This window comes from Homo sapiens, chromosome X (genome assembly GCF_000001405.40).
Source record: "Homo sapiens chromosome X, GRCh38.p14 Primary Assembly".
Lineage (NCBI taxonomy): Eukaryota > Metazoa > Chordata > Mammalia > Primates > Hominidae > Homo > Homo sapiens.
The window spans coordinates 107712994-107727174 of record NC_000023.11 but is presented as its reverse complement, the minus strand read 5'-3'; the positions used below and the strand labels follow the sequence as shown (position 1 = coordinate 107727174).

At 49.9% G+C, this 14181-nt stretch overlaps 1 protein-coding gene across 5 annotated transcripts in view, besides 3 other annotated features; it reads left to right on the top strand.

Moving 5' to 3' along the window:
• The window catches only part of TSC22D3 (TSC22 domain family member 3), a 62768-nt gene extending 48814 nt beyond the window's left edge, over nucleotides 1-13954 (top strand). For 3 of the 5 annotated variants that reach the window (NM_001318470.1, NM_001318468.1, NM_198057.3), the window contains 2 exons: nucleotides 11225-11276; nucleotides 12426-13954. In NM_001318470.1, the coding sequence (NP_001305399.1) occupies nucleotides 11225-11276; nucleotides 12426-12656 (283 nt within the window). In that variant the 3' untranslated portion in view covers nucleotides 12657-13954. Of the gene's footprint in view, nucleotides 1-10112; nucleotides 10486-10666; nucleotides 10861-11224; nucleotides 11277-12425 lie in introns of those variants that run through there. The other 2 variants (NM_004089.4, NM_001015881.2) reach the window with 2 other exon arrangements.
• Nucleotides 1293-1794: an enhancer, noted in NCBI's record as "H3K4me1 hESC enhancer chrX:106968611-106969112 (GRCh37/hg19 assembly coordinates)". NCBI's record gives its function as "activates a minimal SCP1, AML or CMV promoter by ChIP-STARR-seq in naive H9 embryonic stem cells {active_cell/tissue: H9 hESC(naive)}" and the evidence as "EXISTENCE:reporter gene assay evidence [ECO:0000049][PMID:30033119]".
• Nucleotides 5436-5595: an enhancer, noted in NCBI's record as "active region_29835". NCBI's record gives its function as "activates an Ori minimal core promoter by ATAC-STARR-seq in GM12878 lymphoblastoid cells {active_cell/tissue: GM12878}" and the evidence as "EXISTENCE:reporter gene assay evidence [ECO:0000049][PMID:35858748]".
• Nucleotides 10414-10493: an enhancer, noted in NCBI's record as "active region_29834". NCBI's record gives its function as "activates an Ori minimal core promoter by ATAC-STARR-seq in GM12878 lymphoblastoid cells {active_cell/tissue: GM12878}" and the evidence as "EXISTENCE:reporter gene assay evidence [ECO:0000049][PMID:35858748]".
• Nucleotides 13955-14181: the final 227 nt, after the last annotated feature.

Here is a 14181-nt window from a genome sequence, read left to right as displayed (position 1 = left end):
TGTAGGCCAAACCCATCATTGCAGCAGCCTATTGTTGGAGATAAATCACCCTGTGACATGACAAATGCCTTCTGGGTTATCTCCCAATCGTGCTGAGTCCCCGGTGCCCCAAGATGTCCAAGGAGTATCTGTGAAACTCTCGTCCCCTCAACTGCTGAGCTAGTAACTGTCTATACTTGGCTGTTCCTCGGTTTCCATATTTACTTTAGCTCTTCTGCAACTCTGTCAACAAACTCCATGGTATTATTAGTTTTAGCAAATAACAGGATGTCAGAACTGTTGACCAGGATTCGTTAGTTTGCTGTTAGAGCTCTATCCCTAGGACATAGGGGCTAGTGTTCCTTTTATTTTTTAAGGTGTATGAGCTTTGGCAGGAAGCCTTCTTGGTCAGGCCCACCATGCTCTGGTGTCTATAGGTCTTTAAGGTTGCTCGTGCCACAGAGGCCCCACCCACAGAGACCTGGGCACTTCTGTCTTTGCTTGGTGGTACGAAGACATCTGTAGAGTAGATTAAAAAAAAGAAGATGAAAGAAAGAAAAGAAATCAATGCCAATACTTAGAATTTTCCATTTATGTGCTTTATTTTTGCAATCTTGCTGTGGGCTTTAAAAGAACCCTGTCCTTGGTAAGGTGGCTTCAGTGCTTAACATTCATAATGCCGGCAAGGGCCGGGGATGTTATTTTAGGCTGGCACTAAGAATTTCCAGGTTTTTGACCCTAAATATCTTTTTATTTCAACCCCACCCCCAACACTGAATGTCTCAAGGAGCAAGAGAAGAGGTTAAAAGGGTCACTCTGTTGCTGGCAGGCAACCAGGAAGTCTAGGCCTTGGGGAGAAGCATAGCTTTTGTTTATTTAAGCCCAAACCTAGCAAACAATGTAAATTAAACATAAAAATAAAATAAAATAAAATAAGGCCAAAAGACAGTCTGGATGCATACCACAGACAACAGTAAATTCCCCTCCTACTCCCCCTTGGAGAGGGGAGTCAGCGAGCAGGGGAGATGGCCTTGTTGCCAGGGAGGGGCTCACAAGCAATGGAATGGGGTGAGGATGGTAGGCAGGGGTGAGTTCCAGGCTTGGATCAGGGTGGGGACAGGCATGTTTGCAGAGATCCTGGCAAGTCTTTATAGTCAGCCCCAGCAGGTTTTTGAGGGGGGAATGAGTCACACCCCTTCAGCTCACCTGGGAATTGACCCAGGTTTGACCGGGCAGTGACAGCCACAAGGCTGGAGAAGAGCTGGTTCCTGTAGAAGGGAGGTTGGGCCGGTTCATTGACCAAACTGTGCTGTTAGAGAAAAACCAGTCCCTTCCCCTTCTCTATGCTGGGTTCTCTCTTTCCCACAACGATGCCCACCCCTCCCCCGCCGCATGTCCCTGACCTGCCAGGCTGAGAGTTTCCACTGACCGCTGTGAAGTATCTTAAAAGGCATCCGTTCCTCTTAACAGAGAGGCAAAAATTGCCAAAGATTTGAATATAAATCACAGCATGTTCAGGATCATCTCTCTCATAGTAGATCTCACTCACATTCTGGTCAAACCTTCAGGAGTGAGAGGGAAAGAAAGGGCAGAACAGACAGCAGGCCTAGAATATGCCAAGCCTCGTCCGAATGTGTCACACGAAATGGGTCTCAGTGCCCCTGGCACCATAGGGGCTCTTCAGATAGACCCTTTCTTGGCTCTTACCTTTAGGCCAGCAGTTCCTAAAAGCAATTCCATGGACTGGTGTCAAAAGAGCTGCGTCCAAAACACCTGAGAAATACCCTTCTCCCGCCCCACGCCTATTCCACTAGACATGCTAGGGCTGCAGCCCAGGACGCCTGCATTTTCCACAATCTCCCTTAGGCCCACTGCAGCCCACCATCAAGGTTTACCTGCTGTGTGTCCAATTGTCTGCTGACACTGATTGGCCACTGACTACTCTGTTGAAAGTAATACTATAATTTAGTTCATACTGAAGTATTTGAACTGATAGTGTTGAATATGGCACCTTCCCAGGGCTTTTTGCATTGGAAAAGAAGGCGTTCTCATTCCTCAAAGTATAAATGAAGAACTCCAGGAGAGATCATTGGAATCCAAAGGCATGATTCTCATGGTGGCATTTGTAAGGACCACAGTAGTGGTCTGGAAAACAGCTCTGACTGAGAGGGATTTTTTTTTTCTCACCACCCTTCAGATCACACTTCTCAAGTCACAGAGGGCCTCTATGCCAGGACTGGCTCTAGTTAGAACTGTCCTCAAGAGGAGCCTGTGGGAATCATTTCTTAGGCGTCCATATGATTGATTGTGCACAAATGGTACTTGTTTTTATTTCTCCTTCATTTAAAAGAGCCCATTATAATGCATGATTGATATCTTTGAAAACTGTGCTTCTGGCAGTGCCAGGACTTCCCGTTCCCAGTATGCAGTATGAGGCTTCAAATTGGTTCCCCCGTGTCCATCTGAATACCACCTCAAGCTTCCCCTAAGACCCTGTCACCTGTCACCCTTGCACAGCACACAGCTAGCTCTGGATGTCAGAGAGCGCAGAGGCCATGACTTTTGACATTCTGGCATGGGCTAGAGTGTCCTGCATTGCTATCTTGCTATGTCTTGTGGCCTTACTGTCCCTTTGGGGTCATGGGGAAGGTGACAACATAGGGGAAGGGGGGCGGATGCCCCACTCTGCCTGGCTATCTGTGAATTATTAGACTGTGTGAAAGGCTGGAGAGGGTGTTTGCACAAATGCACGTGCTTCCATGCTACTCTTTCTTCCGAGAAGTTGTGTGTATTCCTTGTCAGTGATTCTCAAACCAGGCCAGGAGACCTTCCTTAAGCCCTTCCAACACTCCTTTGAGATCCCTGGTGCTGTTCCCATGGTTGGGGGGCCCTCCCCAGGGAGAAGCTGGCCCTGTTTCTCCTTTTCTTTCTGTTCTGGCAATAGTGTGCCCCCTGCCTCCTCCTGCCACTGCCCCCACCCCAGCTAGGCTGCCTTCTATCCATCCTGGAAGGTGGGAGGCAGCGGTTGGTGATGACTGGAGAGCCAGAGGCCCTTTGCAATCTGCAGAGCCCCTCTTCACATGTGATAGAGTCCCACAACTGAGAATCAAGGAGCTACCTCAAATGAGCTCATGGTGAATAGCTCTGCTGTGAGGTAAGCGAGGGCCCTAGGAGGCTCACAGTGCTTACCCATCACAGCCAAGGAACTAAAGAGCCCAGCATTATTAACCATCCTTTTGTTCCCTAGAGAACCTCTGCCACTTCAAAGATCACCCATTCTATAGCGAGGCCCACAATGGAGGCAGGTGCTCCTGCCCTCTTCACAAGCCCCTCGTCTGCTGCACCCCCATCCCCAACAAGATCCTCCTGGTTGCTGTCTTCCAAGCATTGCCAATAGCCCCCAAGTCCTTCACATGCTACTCAAAGTAACCCTGGCAACTGCCAGAGAAAATGGCTTGGAATTTCGGCTCTTGGAACTGTTCCACAGAGCAGAGTGGATGGAGAGAGGCCTTGCCAGTGTCCCGCTGGCCTGGATAGACTGGTGGAGGGCTGGTGCAGACACATAAATGTGGAGAGTGGCATAGTCTTGCTGCTTTCTTTCTCAGCCCCTGGGAAGGCTGCAGGACACTGGGATTGCCAAAGGGTGGGCTGTGACGAGGGAGCCTGTTTGCCTACCTGAAGATGCTTGTTGGTCTGTAGGAGAGGGCAAGGAACCTTAGCACCTGCCTCTGAAAGAGGTGGGATAAGTATAAGGCTGAGAGGAGCTGGCTAAAGGACAAAGATCGAGAAGTTGGCACGGAGAGGTGAGCCCATGCTAAACAAAGACCACCTTCTTGGAAGAAAGGGACTAGCAACTCAGAAAGCAAATACCTGTGCCTTGTTCCCTTGCTTTACAAAGCCCTGCAGTTAAGGAAGGGAATCAGGGTGAGAGACCTTTCCTGGCACTATCAGCCACAATGTTAAAGGAGTGGTAGATCCCACAGAAACCCTAAGTTTCGTGCTGCTGCATTATCCTATCTAGGTGGGCACCAGTTGAGGGGCAGGGTGGGGAGAAGAAAAGCATGCCTCATTCTGCCCCATGAAATGATGCCCCAGATGGTAGTGGCATGGTCCTTCCCAACCCCAGGCCACCCCCCAACCCAAGCACCCCCAAGCCCGAGGCTTTTTCCTGAAGCAAACATTTCACTAAGGTCTAACCAGTAGGGAGACTTCTGAATTGGCCACAGACCTAGAATATTCTGGAAGGAAGCACAATTTTGGATTTGTACTGCCAATTTACTTTTTTTAATTTCCTTGAAATGTGCCTTGTGCTTTGAATAAGCATACAACTTTGAATTGAACTGATTTGAATTGAATTAAATGATAATGGCAACTAGCATGGGCAGGGGAAAGGAGGACAGTGACTCCATTTACCAAGGTTAGTTTTACCAACCGCCTTTTTCAGGTATATCTATTTCCTGCTTGTAGATGGACAATAGGGAGGGTGGAAAATAAGAGGAGGGCTTGGAAAAATTATGGAGGTAAATTTTCCCAGCTGGAAGGCATAAGGGGAAGGGAGACAAGCATAAATATTGACACAAGGTTCATGAAATTTAAGATCCACTGAGCTAAACTGCATTCCTGGATAAGTCGCCAATAAATACTTCCAGTCCTGCTGACATGGCAGAACAAACCACCCCCCAGCATGGTGAGCCACCAAAGTTAGGGTGATGAAGGTGATTTGACAAGAGCAGTTTTTTACTTCTCTGAGTGAGGGCAGGAGGGGTAGAATGCCTTGTTAAAACAAGGTTTGGTTGCGCCCGTCATCCCTTGTGTCACTCAGAGATTGTTTGTGATGCTCACATGGGACCTTGGACAGGAGGAAGCTGAAAGGCACAATTCATTGCTCCTGCCATCATTCTGTGCCAGAGTTTGCCCCAAATCAATTGCTAGAGCTGCTTTTCCAAGACAGTGTCCATCTCTCCACCAAGATTCTCCTTGGGCTCCCTCCCACTCATCATCGCCTTCTGCATCTGCATCTGCATTCTCCTCCCCATTTTCCTGCCCCTGAAATTCGGAGCTCTGGGCCCTGGCCATGCAGGGCAGTTCACATGATCCACAGAGAACAAGGCACTTTCTCTTTCTCTGTCTTTCCTTCTTGCTTCCCTCCTTCTGGACTTTGGGGATTTTCCATGAAACCAAAGTAACTATGTAAGTGGCAGTGGCCTTCCTGTCTATAGTCTCCCACACTGGAGTGGAACCAGAAGGGAAGAGAGAAGATAAGCGAGAAGCAAGGACAAATTAAACCATGGCATTTCAGCCTCCTTATTCCTCCAGCCTCTTCAGAAAAAGGGACAAGTAAGTAATTAGAACTAGACAGTGCTTCAGATGGAGGGGGCCCGTAGTGGAGGAGTAAGTGGGGAGGGATGTTTTTCAACCATCCCATTAACACTGTGTTAACGCTCTAGTGCTCAATATCCTTTTTGTATTTCCTTTTCCAGCTCCTAACCCAGTGTTTGCTTTGTGGCTTCTCCCGCACCTCTCGCATCATGTCTTTTTCCGCTTCTCCTGACACAGGACCCTGTGTTTTGCTGGCAACATTGCCGAACCTTTGGGTGGAACATTCCCTGTAGAAAATAAGGAAGACTTACCTATAAATAGTTTCCTTCTGGCTGTGTGGTACACAGTGCTTCAAGTGTAACAAAAAGGGAAGTGAGATGTTCCCCCTCATCACCACCCCCAACCTACCGCACCCGCCCTGAATCTGCTGTCCAACGCCATCAGGGCTCTGAGATCCTGCCCGGGGTTATGCTGCCCAGACTTTGCCCAGTCTCTGTTCTACTGTCCCATGGGAACCTGACGTAGGAAGGGCTCTTGTCCTAGAGAGTCCAGTCTGGCTTTTGAAGGGGAAAAGATGAATGGGAAATGCTGAGGCACTTCTTTCAGCTCAAAGGGAATATGCTGGTTTCCAAAGCCTCCTGAAATGAAGGGAATTGGCCCTGTCCTCATTACGCCACCCTCCATCTAGAAGGTCGCCCCTGAGAAAGGTAGGGTCAGCCATGTCTGTTTTGTTACTATGTCCCTTTAAGACTACAGCTGAGAGCCAGCAAAGGGCCTGGCTCCTCAGTGAGGTGCTGTTGCCGTGTTGGCTCTGGGTCCAGCCTACATTGTGAGTTGTGGGATGTCAGAAAGAGAATTTGGCAACATTTATGAATGTTGGGGTAGCTGGGCCATTGAATGCCTAGGCCACTGTTTCCTGTTTGGGGCCCACTTCCACGGGACACAAGGACCCTGAGAGTCTCAATATTGGATCAGATCATGGATAGGTACAGCACAAACTTCCACTCACTGCAAGGTTTGGCATAGCTATTCTGGGTGGAGAAATTTTCTGGTGTGCTGAGGGTTAAGCAGAAAACTCTTTGGGTTCCTCCTCCTTCCCCCACCCCCACCCTTCCTACCCACCCTTATCTCCCCTGCCCTTGTTGTTGGAAAATCTTTTTTCTTTTCTTTTCTTTTTTTTCTTTAGACAGAGTTTCGCTCTTGTTGCCCAAGCTGGAGTGCAATGCCACGATCTCGGCTCACTGCAACCTCCGCCTCGCGGGTTCAAGTGATTCTTCTGCCTCAGCCTCCCGAGTAGCTGGGATTACAGGCATGCGCCACCATGCCCGGCTAATTTTTTGTATTTTTAATAGAAACTGGGTTTCACCATGTTGGCCAGGCTGGTCTCGAACTCCTGACCTCAGGTGATCTGCCCACCGCAGCCTCCTGAAGTGCTGAGATTACAGGCGTGAGCCGCTGCGCCTGGCCAGAAAATCTTTCTACAGAGACATTTAAGTCCATATTCTTCCCTTAGGGAGCCAGTGGACCCTGGGATCCATTCATTCTTTCCTAATGGAGGATCATAAGGTCTCAGGGTGATCACATCTCACTCAGCAGAACCAGAGATGTAGAGAGGATGAGAGCTTGTCTGAGTCTGGGCTGAACCTGGGACCTCCTTTCCAAGTCTTTTTTTTTTTTTTTAACTAAATCTTTGATACGAACTTGTTTTCTTATTGACCTCATTTTCCTAAAAGCTGGAATAGGGGGAAAAAGGAGTTAATTAAGAGTTGCCGGTGAGTGGGGCTCCAGGAACTCAAAGTTTGACTGCATTGTGATTGTGCTGCCAAGACTCCATACTTGATTTGGAATATTGTACACTCTCCTACACGTTCCATTCTGGAAGCCACCCTGTTAGATTAATGTCTCCTATTTCCCAAACAGATAGCTTTCTTTGAGGATTGCTTGGCTGCCTTTTGGAATGATGTGGTTGAGCATGGCCGTCTCATAAAGCTCATTTGGACAGTTGGATATTGTTCCAGTCACCCATTGCAGCTCTCCTCTGCCTCACGTGTCAGAAAAGCCAAGGCTCGCAGAACTCAAAGGCAGTCTCTGGACCTCTCTAATAGTAGGGCTGCTGCTTCTCACCCTTTCTTCTTCCTTACCACTCTCTGGCACCTCCAAACCCCCTACCAACTTCCTCAACTCACTCATTCAAGCCTCTAACCATTCAACAAACCTATTCCCTGCCCCACTGATCAGTGCAGTAGGAACAGATTTGATCTCTGGGTCAGGAAGACCCTGGGCTGCAGTTCTAGCTCTGTAATTTATTACCTTTGCCGCCTTGGGCAAGGTAGCCTCTCAGACCCTTGGTTTCTTCATCTGTAAAATGATAGTGACAGTGCCTAAACCTTGGGGTTGGTGGTGCAGCCAGCACAGTGTCTGCCCATAGCTGATGCTCTATTAATAGTAACTATTATTGTCAGTGAGTCTCAGACTCAATTTGCTTTTATAATTGAAGTATAACTAATGAACAACTCAGACGAGATCAGGTGTGTTCAGGGTGGTATGGCCGTAGACAAATTAATGATCAATTCAAATGCAGCTTTGCTGGGAACCTTAACCCTTTTGCCTTCCCTTCCCATACCACCTGGATTTCTCTGCCTCTGTCTCCACATAAGGGAGTCCCTCTTGAAGGAGCTGTTTTTACTTCTGTCCTGTGCCCTGTTTTCCTGGTGGTGTTTTTCCCCTGCCAGCCCAGCTTATTTCTCTGTCCCCTTTTCTTCTCATCATCTTCCTTGGAATCTTCGGGGGAGGGGAAAGCAATAGTTGAGGAAAAATTAACAAGCCAATGAAAGGTCAGCTCGGAGACTTTCTGAACCAAGAAAACTCTATGTGGTGCAGAGGGCAAATTAATATTAATATATCAGGGAATTCTGATACCAGTTAAGCTCCTGATTTAAGAGGTTTTTTTTTTTAGTGAATGTTCTTGATGACCCATAAGTATAGCCTGCACTTTGTTCTGTCTACTACACATGTCTTAGTGCAAACACCGTGTTCAGAGAGGTTGTGTCTTAAAGTTAACAGAATGTCCTGAGATCATTATTGTCTCCCACCTAAAGTGAGATGAAGAAAAACACCATCCCGGGCTAGTGCAGCAGGTTTACTTAGTTCTATTGGTCAGTACTTTGCAATATAATGGCTCTTGTACACATATTATCACCACTGGAATCCACCAATAGAGCACCACACCATAGCCAAAAATGTTGGCTGTTCAGTGGCATAACTGCCCTGGAAGCCGGGAGGAAATCAAGGCCTTCAGACTGCATTTGGCTGGGGCCTTGGCCAGGGTGTTAGTGCCAGGCACCTGGTTAAGATAAATGTCCTGAAGCAAACAATAATTACCTTCTTTGCTGATAAGAGGCCCCAGTACTTTTCCAATAGCATGATTGCGTTAGGATCTTTCTTTGGACCACAGCCTGTGGAGCACTGATTCATGGGTACTGGCCTTAACTTCATCCAAACTGTTGTATATGTGGTGGAACCCAATGTTCTCCTTTGGTCCTGAGTTGGTGTAAATAATATTCCCGGTTGCATCACCTGTCCCTGCCCCTCTTGCTCCTTCTGGTGGAAATTCTGCTTTTGTCCACCAGGTGGCCTCACTTAGGAAGGAGCAGAAGAAAAGGACCTCAAGTCTCTGGTGCCTTTATTTTTTTTCCCTCAGCTTGAGGCTGAATATAAATAAGATATATTTTAATGGAAACGTGTAACTTTTATTATGGAACAATCACCTCATCTTGTTTATGGTTTGGAGTCTGTTTTTCCTGAAGTACCTCTAATGCTGTGCATGGCTGGGCCCATCACAGGGCAGGTGTTTTCCTGGGATCGTTTATATAAATGTATACCTTTGGTTTGGAGTGTTATTGTCATTCGCTGTTTTAAAGAAAAGTAACAAAGTTGTGTTTTTAAAAAATAGAGACACGGGATCCTGGATAATGTTGAATGTATTTTCTTCAAAGAGTAGAATGTGGAGACTAAAGAGAAAAGGGCTGGCATCTTGTGGTCACTCCAGTGCTCACTCCAATACCCTGTCTCCTCCTCACCTCCTCTGTCACCCACCTAGCTGCTCTCCCATACATGTTCACCCACTCACCTCAGCTCCCGGACACCCTCTCCTCCATACATATGCATCTGTAGATTAGCATGGACCTGTGCATGCATTACATGCATGTCACAGATCTGTACATGTGCCGGTCCACAGACAAGTACTCCCACACCTGAACATTCAGAGGAAGGGGCAAGTGGATGAGTGCTGGGGTTCAGGGCAGGTCGGCAGGCCAGCTGGCTGGTGAGGGGAAAGCTGAGTTGATTAGAGAGTGAATGTGCAGGTGACAAAGTATGTGTGCAGGGGAGAGACTGAGAGGGCAGTGACTGGGAAGAGGGTGAGGCCGTGATGGTGAGGGCGCGTGTCCAGGGAGTATGACATGGGAGAGCATGCAAAGCCATGGGGGCATGCTGGCTGCCACCTGAAGAAGAGCTTTTCAAACTAGCGCTGTTCTTTACTGAATGCCCTCTGCCTCTTGTTAGGGCATTTGTATTTCTTATTTCTCTAGAAATCAGCTCCAGTTTGGTTTTTATCGATCTCCAGAGCCTTCTTTGGAGATGCCAGTTGGTACAAGAAAGTGCTGAACTGTTTACAGTCCCAGCCTAAGGTTCAGGGAGGGGATGTGGTTTAACTGGGCCACAAAGCCCGGTACAGGACTCATTTGCATGGCCCCTGACGCCATGTGACGCAGCCGGCTCCTCCTATATAAAGAAGCAGGAGCCAAAATATCTCCGAGTCTGGGTTGGACTGGCGGCCGTGGAGTTTGTGACATACGAGGTGACACCCCTCGAGTCACTTCCCTTCAACTCCAGCTGGAGCGCCTGCTTGGCTTTGGGTTCGTTCTGCAGCCTTCGCCCCGCTCCTAGCCTCAGGGCCGGACTCCAGCGCAGAGCCCAGCCCAGCGCAGCCTGCCAGCAGCCACCCAGCCGCCCAGCCGCCCAGCCCCGCACGAAACCCGGCCAGAGCTTCCTAGCAGCCCGAGCCATGAACACCGAAATGTATCAGACCCCCATGGAGGTGGCGGTCTACCAGCTGCACAATTTCTCCATCTCCTTCTTCTCTTCTCTGCTTGGAGGGGATGTGGTTTCCGTTAAGCTGGACAACAGGTAACCGCTGGCCCCAGCTCCGGCGCCTCCCGAGCCGGGGCGCCGGCCGGAGCTGGGCTAGGAGCCCGGTCTCTGAGCGAGCTGTGTGCCGCCGGTCCCTGTTCCCCGCGGTGCAGCATCCTGGGAAGGGGCGGGGGGGAGGGGACGCAGGAAGGGGGGGGTCACCGCCGCTCTGGGATCCGTCATCGAAGCGTCCCTGCGGCCGCTGCGCCGTGAAAACCAGCTGCTGCAGCCGCAGAGGCAGCCGGAGGCAGAGGGGCGGCGGGCAGGACCAGACAGGGCTGGGCAGGGGGCTGGCCGAGCGCCGTGCGCCGCTTGGGAGAAGGCCGGAAGCTTACCAGCCGAGAAGGAATTCCTAGCTAGCTTCAGAGCCGGGTAGGTTTGCCTGGGACCTTGTAGGCCGGCTGTGGGGGACTCCCCGGGTCGCACAGCCCCATTGTTTGCATATTGCCCGAGCAGGCCACGGTGGCCTGCGCGCCCCAGGACTCGCAAGCAGCTCCGATCGGTTGGAACTCGGGGCGGCGGCAGCAGCGCTGAGCCGGCCTGGATGAGGAGATGCAGCTTCCTGCAGGGGCCAAGGAAGGATCTGGGGACAAACTGTCCGGAACTCTGGGCCAGGGAGGCGAGAAGGAGAGAGAGAGGAAGAGCCGAGGCAGATGGAGGACTTTGGCCACAACTGCCATGTACTCAAGAGTAGAACCGAGTGGGTAATGGGTCGCTTTGCTTTTTGTCTTGGCAGTGCCTCCGGAGCCAGCGTGGTGGCCATAGACAACAAGATCGAACAGGCCATGGTGAGTGGCATCACTGCGTCATTCTCATCCCCTGACTTAGCTGCTGCTTATGTAACTCTGGGCAGGATTGAGGGAATGGGTGAAAAAGCCCTTAGCCAAAACCCTGAGGAAGCCGACAGCCTGCCTCCTATCCGCACTGGAGGTGGAGTCTGATTAGAGTGGCACCTTTTAGGGCATTTCCAGTCTTCCCTTCCTGGGCTCCCTCCTTTCTTCCTCCCTCCTCCATCTCAGGTCTTTGCCGCAGGCTCTGACTCTCTCCTGGGCCTGTTGTTGGGCAGGGAGCTCAGACTCTTGCATTTGTGTGCATCGTGCAGCTGGCAAGGGGCTGAGCTCATTGGATGCAACAGCACTGCAGTGCCTCTGCAGAGCCTGGACTGGGGTCAGGAGTTGGGTGGAAACAGGAAGCGAAGCACCCCACCCCTGTCCCTCTCCTTACCAGGTAGAGGTCATACTCCAAGGAGCAGCCACAATGGCTGCAGAGGGTTAGGGCTTCAGCGGTTGGGAGCCACTTAATTGTGCCCTGGAGCTTAAGGACACCTTCCCTGCCCCCAGTGCAGTCATCAAATTCAGAGAGGATGCGGCAGTTCTGTACCTTTCCCCAAGGCCAATGTCCTGTGTGCTAACTGGCCGGCTGCAGGACAGCTGCAATTCAATGTGCTGGGTCATATGGAGGGGAGGAGACTCTAAAATAGCCAATTTTATTCTCTTGGTTAAGATTTGTACAGCAGACAAACAGTATGGGATGCATTGCAGGTCTACCCTTCCCCCAGATCTGGATCGGCAGCAGTAGGGGCTTATGTAAAAAGGGGGACATAGCAAACCACTGGCAAACAGCAGAAGTGTCACCCCAAAGGCCCCTCAGCAGCCAGCTTTGAAAGTCATTAGAAACTTGCAGGGGAGAACCTATCTAGTTCAAAGCTGGGCTCTCAACTCCAGCATAAGCCAAATCATGTAGCTCTCCTGAATGAGGGTTTAAGTGCTTCAGAGAAAGGTGAACGAGGAATTGGACTTGCCAGACCAGTTCACTGAGGGAAGGCTGGAGGGCCCTGGCATTAAGGACAGCACAGGCACACCAATGACAGAGCAAAGGTGCTGCAGAGGGGCCACGATGGCTAAGGAATGGCTTTGTTATGATTCCCTCATTGGCAGGATCTGGTGAAGAATCATCTGATGTATGCTGTGAGAGAGGAGGTGGAGATCCTGAAGGAGCAGATCCGAGAGCTGGTGGAGAAGAACTCCCAGCTAGAGCGTGAGAACACCCTGTTGAAGACCCTGGCAAGCCCAGAGCAGCTGGAGAAGTTCCAGTCCTGTCTGAGCCCTGAAGAGCCAGCTCCCGAATCCCCACAAGTGCCCGAGGCCCCTGGTGGTTCTGCGGTGTAAGTGGCTCTGTCCTCAGGGTGGGCAGAGCCACTAAACTTGTTTTACCTAGTTCTTTCCAGTTTGTTTTTGGCTCCCCAAGCATCATCTCACGAGGAGAACTTTACACCTAGCACAGCTGGTGCCAAGAGATGTCCTAAGGACATGGCCACCTGGGTCCACTCCAGCGACAGACCCCTGACAAGAGCAGGTCTCTGGAGGCTGAGTTGCATGGGGCCTAGTAACACCAAGCCAGTGAGCCTCTAATGCTACTGCGCCCTGGGGGCTCCCAGGGCCTGGGCAACTTAGCTGCAACTGGCAAAGGAGAAGGGTAGTTTGAGGTGTGACACCAGTTTGCTCCAGAAAGTTTAAGGGGTCTGTTTCTCATCTCCATGGACATCTTCAACAGCTTCACCTGACAACGACTGTTCCTATGAAGAAGCCACTTGTGTTTTAAGCAGAGGCAACCTCTCTCTTCTCCTCTGTTTCGTGAAGGCAGGGGACACAGATGGGAGAGATTGAGCCAAGTCAGCCTTCTGTTGGTTAATATGGTATAATGCATGGCTTTGTGCACAGCCCAGTGTGGGATTACAGCTTTGGGATGACCGCTTACAAAGTTCTGTTTGGTTAGTATTGGCATAGTTTTTCTATATAGCCATAAATGCGTATATATACCCATAGGGCTAGATCTGTATCTTAGTGTAGCGATGTATACATATACACATCCACCTACATGTTGAAGGGCCTAACCAGCCTTGGGAGTATTGACTGGTCCCTTACCTCTTATGGCTAAGTCTTTGACTGTGTTCATTTACCAAGTTGACCCAGTTTGTCTTTTAGGTTAAGTAAGACTCGAGAGTAAAGGCAAGGAGGGGGGCCAGCCTCTGAATGCGGCCACGGATGCCTTGCTGCTGCAACCCTTTCCCCAGCTGTCCACTGAAACGTGAAGTCCTGTTTTGAATGCCAAACCCACCATTCACTGGTGCTGACTACATAGAATGGGGTTGAGAGAAGATCAGTTTGGGCTTCACAGTGTCATTTGAAAACGTTTTTTGTTTTGTTTTGTAATTATTGTGGAAAACTTTCAAGTGAACAGAAGGATGGTGTCCTACTGTGGATGAGGGATGAACAAGGGGATGGCTTTGATCCAATGGAGCCTGGGAGGTGTGCCCAGAAAGCTTGTCTGTAGCGGGTTTTGTGAGAGTGAACACTTTCCACTTTTTGACACCTTATCCTGATGTATGGTTCCAGGATTTGGATTTTGATTTTCCAAATGTAGCTTGAAATTTCAATAAACTTTGCTCTGTTTTTCTAAAAATAAACTTGGTGTCTGACTGAGTATAAATGGACTGGGTGGGAGAGGCCCCTCACCCAGTAGGGGCTGTTTTGCTGACCCCCTGAATATCCCTTGAGCACCCTGTCAGTGCCAGGCCTATGCTGCAGCCGTGATCTCGTGTCATCTGCACAATACTCATATGAAGGACATGCTGTTTGCCCTCACTGTCTGGATAAAGAAACTGAGACTCAGCGAGTTTAAGTGACTTGCCCA